We start from the raw sequence: 12,517 nt of genomic DNA on the forward strand, positions 1-12,517 counted from the left end.
CTCCTCAGGGTCCCCACTTGCTCCACCTGCCTGCCTTTCTCTTCCTAACGCCTGCTACTCTGCCACTCTCCGTGTCTCTGCTTAGCTGGCCTGTCCTCCCGGCACCCTGTCATGTCAGGGCCCGCTCTGACACCCATGTGGTCCCTAGCACCCAGGGCAGCGCCAGGCACAGCTGGGTGAGCACACAAACAGGTAGGTCTGGACAAAGCACAGGCTTAAGACCAGACACAGCAAATCCCAACACTCAGCCCCTCGCCGGACCTGTCTCAGGAAGAGGTGAGACCCACGCGGAAGGACAGGCAGACCTCCCCTCGGACAGACCCCCGTGGGCTCTGGGTGCCTCGGATGGAAGAGTTCAGGCTAAACTGCCATGAACATGCTTGCAGCCCGACCAGGCTAGCTCTACCTCTCCAGAGGCTACCGACAGGAAAGCCCAAATCTCAGGAAATGCTTCTTGCAGAGACAGCCTCCATCACAGTGAGGTTCCGAATGGGGAAACCGGGAGGAACTCAAGAGACCCACGCCGGGGAGGTGGGTGGAGTCACCCCTCCTCCACGGGAGCAAGGGAGCCGGCCAAGGAATGACGGCTGGCACCCCTCCCACGCCCAACATCAAGAGTGAGAGTGATCTCAACGTTTTTCTTATGTTCATTTTCCTAATATTTTAATAACAGGTAATTACGTCTGTATTAAGGGAAAAAGCCTAAAGGGGTGTCTTGGACAGCGGCTGGGGCTACGTATCGGAACTGGTAGATGGCTGGGTGCTGGGGGCCAGCAGTGAAGGCGACGGCACAGAACAGGCCACCCCAGTGCAGCCCCAAAGGCACGGGGGCAGCAGCAGATGCGAGAAGGGTGCTCTAGCCTCCCCTTTCTTCCTGCAAGCAGATGAAACCCCACGTGAAACACGCCCTCCTCGTAGAGGAAGAGGACGTGCTCATCACCAGCACCGGGAGCTGAGGCTGAGAGACAGCTGCACACACCAACCCTTATCTCCCTCAGCCTCCCCAAGGATTTTAGTTACTTTTTCACAGTTGCTATTCTTGGGCATAGAAGCCCTCAGGTCTAACTGCTTCAGGAGGCCTTCACTTTCTGAAGTCTCCCATGTACCTGTAAAAATAACATTTGTGGCCGTGCGCAGCGGCTCACACCTGTAATCCCAGCACACTGGGAGGCCGAGGCGGGTGGATCACGAGATCGAGACCATCCTGGCTAACACAGTGAAACCCCATCTCTACTAAAAATACAAAAATTAGCCGGGAGTGGTGGCGGGCGCCTGTAGTCCCAGCTACTCGGGAGGCTGAGGCAGGAGAATGGCGTGAACCCGGGAGGCGGAGCTTGCAGTGAGCCGAGATCACGCCACTGCACTCCAGCCTGGGCGACAAAGTGAGACTCCGTCTCAAAAAAATAAAATAACATTCGTAAGCTTTTCTCCTGTTATTCTATGTCAACCTAATTCTCAGACTCTGCCAGAGACCCAAGGAGGGAAGCCACTGCACGCAGCCTAATGTTCAGGAATTACATAGTGGTGATGATTACACAACTTTGTGAATATATTAAAAACCAGTGAATTGTACATTTTAAAAAAGCAAATGTTGGCCGGGCACGGTGGCTCACGCCTGTAATCCCAACACTTTGGGAGGCCAAGGCAGGCGGATCACGAGGTCAGAAATTCAAGACCAGCCCGGCCAATATGGTGAAATCTTGTCTCTACTAATAATACAAAACTTAGCCAGGCATGGTGGCTCGTGCCTGTAGTCCCAGCTACTGGGGACGCTGAGGCAGGAGAATCGCTTGAACCCCGGAGGCAGAGGTTGCAGTGAGCTGAGATCACACGCCACTGCACTCCAGCCTGGGCAACAGAGCGAGACTCCGTCTCAAAAAAAAAAAAAGAAAGAAAAAGAAAAACGAAATGTTGTAATACATTAATTGCACCTCTATTAGAAAGTAAACAAACTTTTAAAAATTGTACAGGCTTTCTAATTACAACACCCTAGACATTAAAAATGCGTAAGACTCAGCACTGTAGGAAAGGTTAAAAAAAAAAAAAGCACAGGAAAAAAAGGGAAGAGAGCAGTTTGCAACTTGGGGCTGAGGAGGTGGTGGGGGCTGCTCCTCACCTCCTCTTCTTGGCTGAAACCTGTTTGCCAAGTGGTGATAATGTACTTCCAGTGAAACTCTATCACATAACTCAATAAAAGCAGGGACTTCCCAGCTCAGAGCCTTCCCCTGGCCTCCACCTCCGGCCAGCTTCCTGCAGGGTGAAGGCCTTGACCAGGCTATGGATGGGGGAGGCGGGAGAGTCCACCCTCCACACCCCTCCTCTCCACCGCACAGCAGCCTGCCCAGAGGCCAGCAGAGATCACCTCTCACTCAGCAGGGATCTGCCGCGAGCCAGGAGGCCTGCACTGCCCAGCTAGGCACAAGGCATGATTCCTGCTGTGGTTATAGCTGGGTAGGGGGGTAGTGAGGCAGCCTATAGAGGTGGAGGGGCTGACCCCGGGCGGGGAGCGCTGGGCCTCAAACTGCCCCCCAGATACTAATACCTTTTACATGTTTTCAATAGACAGCCATATACCTACATGAAAAGTAGCCTTGATTTCCCCTCTTGTTCCTAAAGCCTAAAATGTTTACTATGTGGCCCACTGCAGAGAGTCTGCTGACCCTGATGTAAATAAAGGAATGAGGGTGCCGGCGTTTGGGGTGCACACTTTCCAGGCCACAGCCAGGCCAAGGAGGCACAGCAGAGGGGCTGAGCACCTGGAATGGCGCCAGGAGGGAGGGGCAGGCAGGGACCTGGGGCAAGGCCTGGGCAGCTGGGAGGGAGGCCCAGCCTGGGGCTCCGTGCTCAGCAGCTGCTGCCCTGGAATTCCTGGTCACTTCACCTTTGACCCATATTTTGTAAGTGGGGTCCAAGGGCACAAGGGCTTGGTGCTGGGGGCTCCTAGCCTGGGCTTGGGGGTCTCTGCACCCACCCGTGGGTGAAATGCCAAACACAAAACACCCTGGCCGACCCAGAGACCTCCAGGAAAGGAAGATGCTTTTTTCCTGCCTTTTAGCATAAGGGTCCACAAATTCCATAGCCAGAGGGGCCGGGGGCAGCAGAGGAGGGGTAAGGGGTGAGGGGCCAGAGCTCAGGGTCTGGTCGCTCTTCTAAGAGGGAGGCGGGAAGGAACTCCGCACCGTGGCGACCTGGGACAGGGCCCACACTGCTCTGCATCCCAACTTCCTCTCCGAGAAGAGGGAGGGGCCGACACCTACCAGGGAGATGTGAAACAACCAGCCTGGGTGACAGCACTGTGCCCCTGTGAGCAACGGGCAGCCGCGGTACCAGTCCTTGGCGTCATCACCGGCTCTGCCACCCGCGGAAATGGCTGAGCCTCAGCTGCCTCCTCTGCAAAGCAGGGACGGGAAGGGCAGGTGCCTTGCTGAGCTGTGTGGGGACTGAGTGGAGGCTTCTGAGGACTCACCAGGGTTAAGACGGGTGTTCATTCAATGCTCCCCAGTTCTCTTCTTCTCCCGTCCCTCCAGGCATGCTCTCAGCCCCTGCTGAAGCCTGTGTCCTAATCCATCAGGCCCTACCCCCAGGACCTCATGGCGGGGGCATGGGACCCTCACCCGCAGAGGTGAACGATGGGAGAGGCGGGGGCACCAGGAGCTGCGGGGGCCTGAGGCAGCTCCTGACCCAGCTCTCAGGGTCCAGGCCAGCTCCCTAGGAGAAGGCCCCCCACTTGCTCTCAAGAAAACCCTGGGCTATTCAAGGAATCTACCAGAAAGCTGGGAATTGCACATCTTCTGAAACGAGGGTCCCGGCCTCCCTTACCAGCCTCCGTTTCTCAGTCGGGGTCTCAGGCTCTCCCAGCCTCTGCAGGTGCTTACTCACCTGGCTCTGACCTCCGCTGCAGAGAGGAAGCACCTGGAGCACGGGCAGGGGTGCGTTCCCCTCGCCCCAGCCCTTGAGAGATCCAATTAGCACAAATGATTGTTATTATTGTTGTTATTAAGTCCCGCCCACCCCTCTGGAGGCCTGCCTGCCAATTATCCCCTTTCTTCTGCTGCCAATCTCACCTCCTCCTCCCCCCGCACTCTCGGAAGCAACTCCTCCTGGCCCTCCGTGGCCCTCCCTGCCCAGAAACTTCTCTGGCACCCACCTGCTTTCTTCCTCCCCCCAGTCTCTTATTCCTTCCCCTCTACTTGCAGCCTGGAGCAGCCACCTCCCTTCCTTCCCCCCAAGTCATCCTCCAACCACTGGGCTAACACCCTCTCTGACTTTTCACCAAATCCTGTGGCTCCTTCTCAGCCTGACTCCACAACCTCTTTGGAGCCACCATGCACCCCATGTGGCCCTGCCTTTGTGGGGCGGGGGAGGAGCTCTGGGGTGCCCAGACCAGCCGTTCCCCCCACCCCACCCCCTCCAGCACGGAGGGCTCTGGCCCTTTCCTCCCTCCCACCCTCACTCTCTTCTCCCCATTCCCCTTCCCTTGGGGCTTTCGCTCCCTCCCACCACGATCCTGGCTCCCACCCTGCCTCTTGGAAGTGCCCTCCTCACACCACACACCAACTCATCTTCCTGAAGTCACTCAGTTCAAACAACCCAATTAGAACCCGGGCAAAGGATCCGAGAAAGCATTCCTCCAAAGAAAGACAAATATCTGATAGGCACATGCAAGGATGTCCTCATGAGCCGTCTGGGAGAGGCAGACCAAACCCACAGGGAGGCAGCACCTCACACCCACTGCCAGCCTCAGAAAACAAGTGCTGGTGAGGACCAGGAGAAGTGGGGAGACCCCCATTGCTGGTGCGGGCGCCATAGGAAACACCTGGCAGTTAGTTCCTCAAAAGGTTAAGCCCAGAACTCCCATAAGAACCCGCAATTCCACTCCTTAGTATAGACCCGAGAGAAAACATGCGTCCGTCCACGCAAAAATCTGCACACGAATGTTCACAGAAGCATCAGGCATAACAGCCGAAATGTAGAGACAACCCAAATGTCCATATGGATGAACTAACTGTGGTCCATCCATGACCGTAATGGAACACGACCATAACCAGGTGTGAAGTTCAGCTGTGACAGGGATGACCCTCGAACACGGCACGCTTGGTAAAACAAGCCCGATGCAGAACAGCACGATTCTATTTATGCGCCTGCCCACAAGAGGCACACCCCGGGAAAGAAAGCAGATCAGCACTTCCCAGGAACCGGGACGCAGGGAGGCAGGGAGGCAGGGAGGGAGGGACTGCTGAAGATGCACGGCGTTTCTTTTGGGATGAAGAACAGGTTCTAAAATCGACTGTGGTGATGGCTGCGTAAATCAGTGAATACACTAAAAACCTTACTGAACTGTATATTATTTATTTATTTATTGAAACAGAGTCTCGCTTTCTCGCCCAGGCTGGAGGGCAATCGCACCATCTCGGCTCACTGCAACCTTCGCCTCCCGGGTTCAAGGGATTCTCCTGCCTCTGCCTCCCGAGTAGCTGGGACTACAAGCGCTGAACTGTGTACTTTAAAAGGGCAAATTGTACACTATGGGAATCATATCATAATAAAACTGTTCTCAACAAAAAGCAACTCAGTTCATCACCTCCTTGCCCAAACTGCTGCCACTGCACGTGCCGGCTGCCCCTCAATCCAAAATCCAAGTTCCTCCCCAGGCACCACAGGGTTCCATCTGGCTCCGGCACCTCTGCAAACCCCCTCCCTTCCAGCTGGCCCGGATCTCGCTGTGCAGTGCACTGCTCCTGATGCACCGACAGGCTCAGTCCTGGCCAGGCCCGGTCTTTCACCCTTAAGGACCGGCCCCACTCCTCCACTTGCCCCGGCCAGGCCTGGTCTTTCTCTCTGAGGGGCCGGGCTCAGTCCTCCACTTGCCCCGGCCAGGCCTGGTCTCTCTCTCTGAGGGGCCGGGCTCAGTCCTCCACCTGCCCTGGCCAGGCCTGGTCTCTCTGAGGGGCCGGGCTCAGTCCTCCACTTGCCCCGGCCAGGCCTGGTCTTTCTCTCTGAGGGGCCGGGCTCATTCCTCCACCTGCCCCGGCCAGGCCTGGTCTCTCTCTCTGAGGGGCCGGGCTCAGTCCTCCACCTGCCTGGCTCAGTCTCACCTTTCAAGGGTCTACTCAAATGTCAGCTTCTCCCTGAGGCCCACACCCCACCTTTCCCATGGCAGGGCTGACTTCCTGGCTGGTCAGCACCTTCTGTCACCATGTCACGAGCGTGGTGATATCACTTCTATTGGTATTTCCTTCCTGGGACTCTGCATCTGCTCCTGGGCACAATGCTCCCTGAGGGCAGGTGCCAGGGGTGTCCAGCACCTGCTGCCCTGGTACCCATGGCTGCTTCCGGAACCAACACTGCTGCCCGGCCCCGCCGCAGAGCCCTCTCCTGCTCACCTTCCCGCTCTGCTCCCAGCTCAAGAAGCCCACAGCGCCACCCCTCCACTCCCCCACCAGCTCTTTCACTGCCCTTTTCTGTGGCCACTTCGCTCCCTCACTCCTGGCCTGAAAACCTCATTCTTGTTCCCTCCTGCACCTCCGCCTGGATCTGCAGGCTAGGTGGGGTGACATCTACCTGGCATCTTGCATGGGGCCCTCATTTCCTCAGCCCCGGGACATCTCTGTGACACCACGGAGATCCCAGGCCTGCCCTCCCTGAGGGTGGTGGGGAAAGCTCTACACACCCTTTCCTGTTCATTCTACAGTGACTGGTCTGCGTAGACCTTCCCTCTCGTCTGAGCCGGTTTTGGCAGATCACATTCTCCTAGAGCACAGCCTGCACGTCCCTCTGGCGGGGTTCAGGACGCAGAGGGAAGCCGTTGTCCCGTGCTCTGGCCCCTCTCCCTCTCTAGAGGCCGGCCGCGGCACGTTGATTTCGCTGCTTTTTTTTTTTTTTTTTTTTTTGAGACGGAGTCTTGCTCTGTCGCCCAGGCTGGAGTGCAGTGGCGCGATCTCGGCTCACTGCAAGCTCCGCCTCCCGGGTTCACGCCATTCTCCTGCCTCAGCCTCCCGAGTAGCTGGGACTACAGGCGCCCACCACCACGCCCGGCTAACTTTTTGTATTTTCAGTAGAGACGGGGATTCACCATGTTAGCCAGGATGGTCGCTGCTCTATTCTTTTCCAGCCACTTCACACCTGGACTCGCGCAGCAGCCTCCCAAAGGTTTCCCGCATGCCTCCCACCCGCACCACCCACACCCTCCCCGTCAGAGCCGTCTTCCTCGGGGGCATCAGCACAGCGACGGCAGAGACAGCTCACGGCCCCAGCCACCACACTCAACTACTTTCCGAGAGGGCGAGAGAGAGGGACTTCATCTACTGTCAGGGTGCAGTGTGTTGTGGAGACAGCGGGGCACAGCCCGCAGGACTTGGTGCCTGCAGATCTTCAGATCCTTATGCGAAGGCTTCCGGGTCTTAGGGCAGCCGAGTAACTGAGAATTGTTTAAAAGACAAAACAGTCTTGAGGCCAAAAGCCCCACACACCTACAAAGTACACTATGGACTCTGGGTGATCATCAGGTGTCCGTGTAGGTTCATACATTGTCACAAAACGCGCTGCCCTGGAGTGGGAGTTGACAGTGCGGGGGCTGTGTCGGGGGAGGGTGCAGGCGGATATGGGAAATCTGTGCATCTTCCTCTCAATTTTGTTGCGAACCTAAAACTGCTCTAAAAAAAAATAAAGCCCCTGGCTGGGCGCGGTGGCTCACACCTGTAATCCCAGCACTCTGGGAGGCCGAGGTGGGCGGATCACAGGGTCAGGAGATCGAGACCATCCTGGCTAACACGGTGAAACCCCATCTCTACTAAAAAATACAAAAAATTAGCCAGGCATGGTGGCGGGCGCCTGTAGTCCCAGCTACCGGGGAGGCTGAGGCAGGAGAATGGCATAAACCCAGGAGGCGGAGCTTGCAGTGAGCCAAGATCACGCCACTGCACTCCAGCCTGGGCGACGGAGTGAGATTCTGTCTCAAAATAAATAAATAAATAAATAAAGCCCCTGGTCACCACTCAGGTGGCTGAGGAGGCAGGATCAATTAAGCCCAGGAGTTTGAGACCAGCCTGGGCAACACAGCAAAATCCTATCTCTTAAAATATATACATATATGAAATAAAACACTAAAAATAAAGCCTTTATATTAAAAAAAAAGACACACACACACACAAAACCACACCTGCGGACCACCTTACATTCTGTGACCCCTCTGCTGGGCCAACAGGGCAGGCTGGCCATTTTCCAGATGGTGTGGATTCTCCCCCGGGGCCTTTGCACAGTCCCTTCCTCCCACCTCACCTGCCCTCTCAGTATACATCTGCTTAGCCCATCTGCCACGGCTCAGCATCAACAGCACCTCCCCCAGGAAGCTTTCCCAGACTGCTCCCTTCCCTCAGCTCTATCCTCTCTTATCCAGCGACAAAAGATCACACTCATCAAGCACGGATTAAATCCCAGGTCCTGGGTGCAGGGTGCCCTAAGCACATAAGCTCTGATCCTGGGCCCCACAATCAGTGGGAGACAGTGCGAGGCCATGAGGCCAGCACAGGGACAAGAGGACAGCCGTTCTGGGCAGGGCAGGGTGGGATCTGGCCCCCCAGGAACCAGCCACATGACCTGGGCAAGGTGCTTGGGCTACCCGTCCCTCCTGATTAAATGAGATGTGTGTCAAGTGCTCACCCAAAAGCCGTGGAGATGCCCAGTAAACACAGCCTATCACTGTGGTCCTTGTTGTATAGACAAGGAAACTGAGGCTTCCACAAGCAGAGTGGCTAGTACAGTATCACAGAGCCACAGCGAGGCTTTCAAAAGCGGAGTGGCTAGTACAATCTCACAGAGCCACAGCGAGGCTTCCACAAGCAGAGTGGCTAGTACAACCTCACAGAGCCACAGCGAGGCTTCCACAAGCGGAGTGGCTAGTACAACCTCACAGAGCCACAGCGAGGCTTCCACAAGCGGAGTGGCTAGTACAATCTCACACAGCCACAGCGAGGCTTCCACAAGCGGAGTGGCTAGTACAATCTCACACAGCCACAGCGAGGCTTCCACTAGCGGAGTGGCTGGAGCAATGTCACAGAGCCACAACGTAGGAGGCTGGAGCCACACCTGAGTCGGCCAGCTGCCAAAGACAGCTTGCTTCCTTCTAACTCTTGGACAACGGCATTTGTCCCCTTTAACGTCCACCATTGAGGATGGTCCTGTGTCCCGCAGGGGGATCTGTGTCTTACTCCGTGTCTTATTCACCTCTGCGACACCTACTATAGGTCCCCATCAGTCCCACAGTGCATCCAGCAGACTGTGCACTTGAGGGCGGGGCTATTTCCAGCAAAGACCCTGCACACAGCAGCCTCAGGAATCCATGGCTCTGACTGGCTGGACCCTGGGCTGAGGCAAGGACCACTTCTGATGCATCTCTGGGTCCCAACACTATCCACTGCAAGGCCTCGAAACAGGGGGGCCAGATGGGACCCCCATTTAGCACAAGAGAGACGTCCACACTCTGTGAGCCCAAAGGGAGAAGGCTCAGGCCACGGCAGAGACGGAACCAGGAAAACGTCACGAAAAACAGCCTCAAGTTGCCAGGTCCCTTGCAGGAACAGACAGGCCTGGGGCCGCCCCACCTGGGCTCAGAGCTTGGGCTGGTTTCTCTGCAGCTGTAAGGTGACAGCTCTGGGCTCCTGGGACAGGGCCACTGACACTGGAGGTGTGACTGCTCGAACTCCACACCTGCCTTGCTCTCCCTGATGCTGGGTGAGTGAGGCCTCCTTGGGGGTTGCATGGATCTCAGCACTCAACTTCCGAGCCACTTGTGCTTCTCCCACTATGCTGGGGTTCCCCTGAACCAGCCAGCAGCCCTGCGTGTAGGAGTCCTCGTGGACAGTACACCCCACTAGGCAGGGAGTCCAGCGTCTCCAAGCCAATGACTAACACCTAGAGGACTTCGGAACAGCCTTTGTCCCCCTAGACCCCAACCTGGGGGCGGAAGGGGGCGGTTGTGATGGTCAAGGGTCTGGGCTCTGGAATCGCAGTAGACACAGGTTCTGAAGCTGCTGGGGGCCTTGGGCTAACAAGTGCCATCCAGAGCCTCCATCCCATACCCCTAAAATGGAGGTGACCACCTCCATCCCAGAGCCTTGAGAATTTAGGACAGTGAGGACCAGGCACTGGGCCAGGTTCCTGCAAAGTGTGCACCAGCAAGTGTTGTCGAATCTGCAGTTTCTCACACCACAGAGGCCCCAGCACCTGGCACAGTCCTCACTAGGCTGGAGGCCTCAGGATGCACCAGAGGACACACGAACGAGGTTTGGAAAGGCCTGTGAAACATGTCTGAGGATGGGTGTCCTGAGAGCTGTGTATGCCTAGTAACAAAAGACCTCCCAGGGCAGCCAGGCAGTTGCTGGTGGCCTTGAGCTGTGACCCCTGCCATTCCCTGCCCAGAGCCCACTGTCATCCTCCCTTAAGTACCAGGTTCCTGGTAGCCAATCCTTCCTCTCTATCTTTCAAGACACAATACCTCCCCTGCACCACACACCCCTCCCTCAAGGTCAGAGCTCCCGGGAGCACTCTGGCAAATCTCCCCACCCCTCTGCCCAGTGTGAATGGGTCTCAGCTGCTCTGGGACAGGGACTGTATGATTCCTGCCAGGCTGCCCAGCACGGAGCACCACTCTACCTTGTGCTTGCACAGAAGGGCCTTGAGATCCCTCTCTTCACCCAGGCTGGGCCAGGCACCTCATCTGGGCCCTCACAGGACAGTGCTGTGCCAAGACCATGTGTGACCTCATGCCCAGCACAGGGCCTGGCCTGTGCAGCCGCCTGGATGGATTACATTTACTCAGGGAATTGTGAACTTGCTCTCGTTTTTAGACAACTGAAGGGAAATTGAACCTGGGAAAAGGGAAGTGACATGTCCAAGGTCACAGAAGTGGAAGAGACAGTGCCAAGGCCAAGGCCCAGGAAAGGGCCTGGCTCCAGAGCCCTTTCCATTTACTTTACACCCATCTGTTGAGGTCTGCTCTGGCTCTAAAATGAAAGCATTAAGAGCCTTCCCGCTGAGGTCAATACTATTATTACCACTCCCACTCTGTCCTGGTGGAAAGTAAGGCACTGAAGTTACTCGTCTAAGGCCACGAAGGTGAGTGGTGGGGCTGGGACTTGAACCCAGGCCTGCCCAGTCCCAGAGCTCTTGGGGAATACAACCCAGTGCCTGCACACACTCTGGCAGTGCACCAGGGAGGGGCCAGGCCGGGTGCCCGGATGGATGGATAAGACATGAGATAAGCAAGCAGGAATCTGATCTGGATGTTCTCTGAGGCCGTGCGTGGCCGGAGGACCACAGGGACTGCGCAGAGGCAGGCAGGTGAATGTCAGCAGCGTTTAGCCAAAGAGGCTTACGGTCTTCAGAGGAGCTAAGCCAGGATCAACGCAACTGTGCTTCCCGGCGCTGGGGTCAATCGGATCCCCAGATGGGTTCTAAGCACTGCGCAACATGGGACCTGGGAGCAGGACACCGCAAAGAGCAGACCAAGCCATTCCTTCCCTAAAGCCCTGACCATCCCCCGGACTGGGCTGGGTCAAAATGCCTTCCCTGGCTCCCACAGCCCCCAGACCTCTCCATCAGGGGTCTGGTCACCTTGGATGGCGACTCTGTCGCCCGGGTCTCAGTCTCTGCCTTCCACCCAGACTCCAAGCCCTTGTTCATCTCCCTGCTCCCTGTCTCTAGTGCCCGGCACAGGGCCTGGCACTGGAAAAACTTCTGCCTCCACTCACTCCTGCCTTCTGTGTCTGTGGGTCACTTTTCTGTGCGACTCTGCAGGTCCCAGAGCACTCATCCACATGAATTGGGGTCAGCTCCCTGGACTGGGGGTCGGGGTGGGGTGTCAGGAGGGCGGGGCTCCACTCTGATCCACTCGGCACAGGGGAGGGAGGCCTCAGGAGTCGCCACCCGATCCAGTCCCCGCCTTCGCCCTGCCCCGTGGGCCACGCGGTGGCTGACCTTGGCCCAGTCACTTCCCCCGCTGGGGACGCGCTTCCTCCCCGCCTGCCGAGCAAGGACGAATGAATGGGCCTCCTGCCGGCCAGAATCCCCGTAATTACCCGCCTGATCAAAGGCCACGCGCAGCCCGCCCGGGGCAGCAACGGGACCCGGGCTGACTCGAAAAGGGGAAGGAAGGGCTGGGGGGGCCGAGGGCTGAGACCGTGCCCTCGGGGCCGCGGTATCCGGCCAGGCCAGCCCAACCGCGCGGCCCCTTCCCCCACCTGGGCCTCAACTTCCCCCCGAAGTCGCCACCACTTCCGGCCACGACCGGCGGAGTTGGAACTTCGGGGGGACGGACAGCGGCCCCACCCCCGACGGCCCGCAGCAGAGGGACCCCCACCGAGGCCCCCGCTCCTGCCCCCGCCACGCGCACGCGCGCGCCCTGGACCCGGACCCGCGCACGCGCACCCCCCCTCCAGCCCCGCTCGCCGCCCGCGGGCCGCCCGGGCGCGCGTCCCCTCCCACAGCTCTTCGGCGCGCACGCGCACTCCCCCCGCCCGCG

The 12,517-nt window shown here is 57.7% G+C and overlaps 1 protein-coding gene and 1 long non-coding RNA gene across 4 annotated transcripts in view, besides 10 other annotated features; both read right to left on the minus strand.

Annotated features, from left to right (window-relative positions):
* Window positions 1-12,517, minus strand: part of ZNF787 (zinc finger protein 787) — a 33,930-nt gene that overhangs the window by 21,121 nt on the left and 292 nt on the right. The window contains exon 1 of one of the 3 annotated variants that reach the window (XM_047438164.1): window positions 3,880-3,959. The exons of the other annotated variants lie outside the window; for them this stretch is intronic. The gene's annotated coding sequence lies outside the window, so the exon portion shown is untranslated. Of the gene's footprint in view, window positions 1-3,879; window positions 3,960-12,517 lie in introns of those variants that run through there. 3 annotated transcript variants of the gene reach the window in all.
* Window positions 2,153-2,222: an enhancer, noted in NCBI's record as "active region_15112". NCBI's record gives its function as "activates an Ori minimal core promoter by ATAC-STARR-seq in GM12878 lymphoblastoid cells {active_cell/tissue: GM12878}" and the evidence as "EXISTENCE:reporter gene assay evidence [ECO:0000049][PMID:35858748]".
* Window positions 2,842-3,519: an enhancer, noted in NCBI's record as "H3K27ac-H3K4me1 hESC enhancer chr19:56622697-56623374 (GRCh37/hg19 assembly coordinates)". NCBI's record gives its function as "activates a minimal SCP1, AML or CMV promoter by ChIP-STARR-seq in naive H9 embryonic stem cells {active_cell/tissue: H9 hESC(naive)}" and the evidence as "EXISTENCE:reporter gene assay evidence [ECO:0000049][PMID:30033119]".
* Window positions 4,880-4,989: an enhancer, noted in NCBI's record as "active region_15113". NCBI's record gives its function as "activates an Ori minimal core promoter by ATAC-STARR-seq in GM12878 lymphoblastoid cells {active_cell/tissue: GM12878}" and the evidence as "EXISTENCE:reporter gene assay evidence [ECO:0000049][PMID:35858748]".
* LOC124904773 (uncharacterized) lies at window positions 5,334-6,877 on the minus strand. The gene is made up of 2 exons (XR_007067349.1): window positions 6,077-6,877; window positions 5,334-5,918 (listed from the first exon to the last, which is right to left on the minus strand). It is a non-coding gene; the product is annotated as an uncharacterized LOC124904773 (long non-coding RNA).
* Window positions 6,912-7,588: an enhancer, noted in NCBI's record as "H3K4me1 hESC enhancer chr19:56626767-56627443 (GRCh37/hg19 assembly coordinates)". NCBI's record gives its function as "activates a minimal SCP1, AML or CMV promoter by ChIP-STARR-seq in naive H9 embryonic stem cells {active_cell/tissue: H9 hESC(naive)}" and the evidence as "EXISTENCE:reporter gene assay evidence [ECO:0000049][PMID:30033119]".
* Window positions 8,994-9,709: an enhancer, noted in NCBI's record as "H3K4me1 hESC enhancer chr19:56628849-56629564 (GRCh37/hg19 assembly coordinates)". NCBI's record gives its function as "activates a minimal SCP1, AML or CMV promoter by ChIP-STARR-seq in primed H9 embryonic stem cells {active_cell/tissue: H9 hESC(primed)}" and the evidence as "EXISTENCE:reporter gene assay evidence [ECO:0000049][PMID:30033119]".
* Window positions 9,449-9,618: an enhancer, noted in NCBI's record as "experimental_51832 CRE fragment used in MPRA reporter constructs". NCBI's record gives its function as "activates a minimal promoter by MPRAs in K562 erythroleukemia cells, with activity observed for the non-introgressed 19:56629389 variant allele {active_cell/tissue: K562}" and the evidence as "EXISTENCE:reporter gene assay evidence [ECO:0000049][PMID:34662402]".
* Window positions 11,854-12,148: an enhancer, noted in NCBI's record as "tiled region #1998; K562 Activating DNase unmatched - State 1:Tss, and HepG2 Activating DNase matched - State 1:Tss". NCBI's record gives its function as "activates a minimal TATA promoter and a strong SV40 promoter by Sharpr-MPRA in K562 cells, with weaker activation in HepG2 cells {active_cell/tissue: HepG2 | K562}" and the evidence as "EXISTENCE:reporter gene assay evidence [ECO:0000049][PMID:27701403]".
* Window positions 11,854-12,345: a biological region, named in NCBI's record as "Sharpr-MPRA regulatory region 1998".
* Window positions 11,896-11,945: a silencer, noted in NCBI's record as "silent region_11064". NCBI's record gives its function as "represses an Ori minimal core promoter by ATAC-STARR-seq in GM12878 lymphoblastoid cells {active_cell/tissue: GM12878}" and the evidence as "EXISTENCE:reporter gene assay evidence [ECO:0000049][PMID:35858748]".
* Window positions 12,026-12,345: a silencer, noted in NCBI's record as "silent region_11065". NCBI's record gives its function as "represses an Ori minimal core promoter by ATAC-STARR-seq in GM12878 lymphoblastoid cells {active_cell/tissue: GM12878}" and the evidence as "EXISTENCE:reporter gene assay evidence [ECO:0000049][PMID:35858748]".

Source organism: Homo sapiens, chromosome 19 (assembly GCF_000001405.40).
Source record: "Homo sapiens chromosome 19, GRCh38.p14 Primary Assembly".
In the NCBI taxonomy this organism is placed as follows: domain Eukaryota; kingdom Metazoa; phylum Chordata; class Mammalia; order Primates; family Hominidae; genus Homo; species Homo sapiens.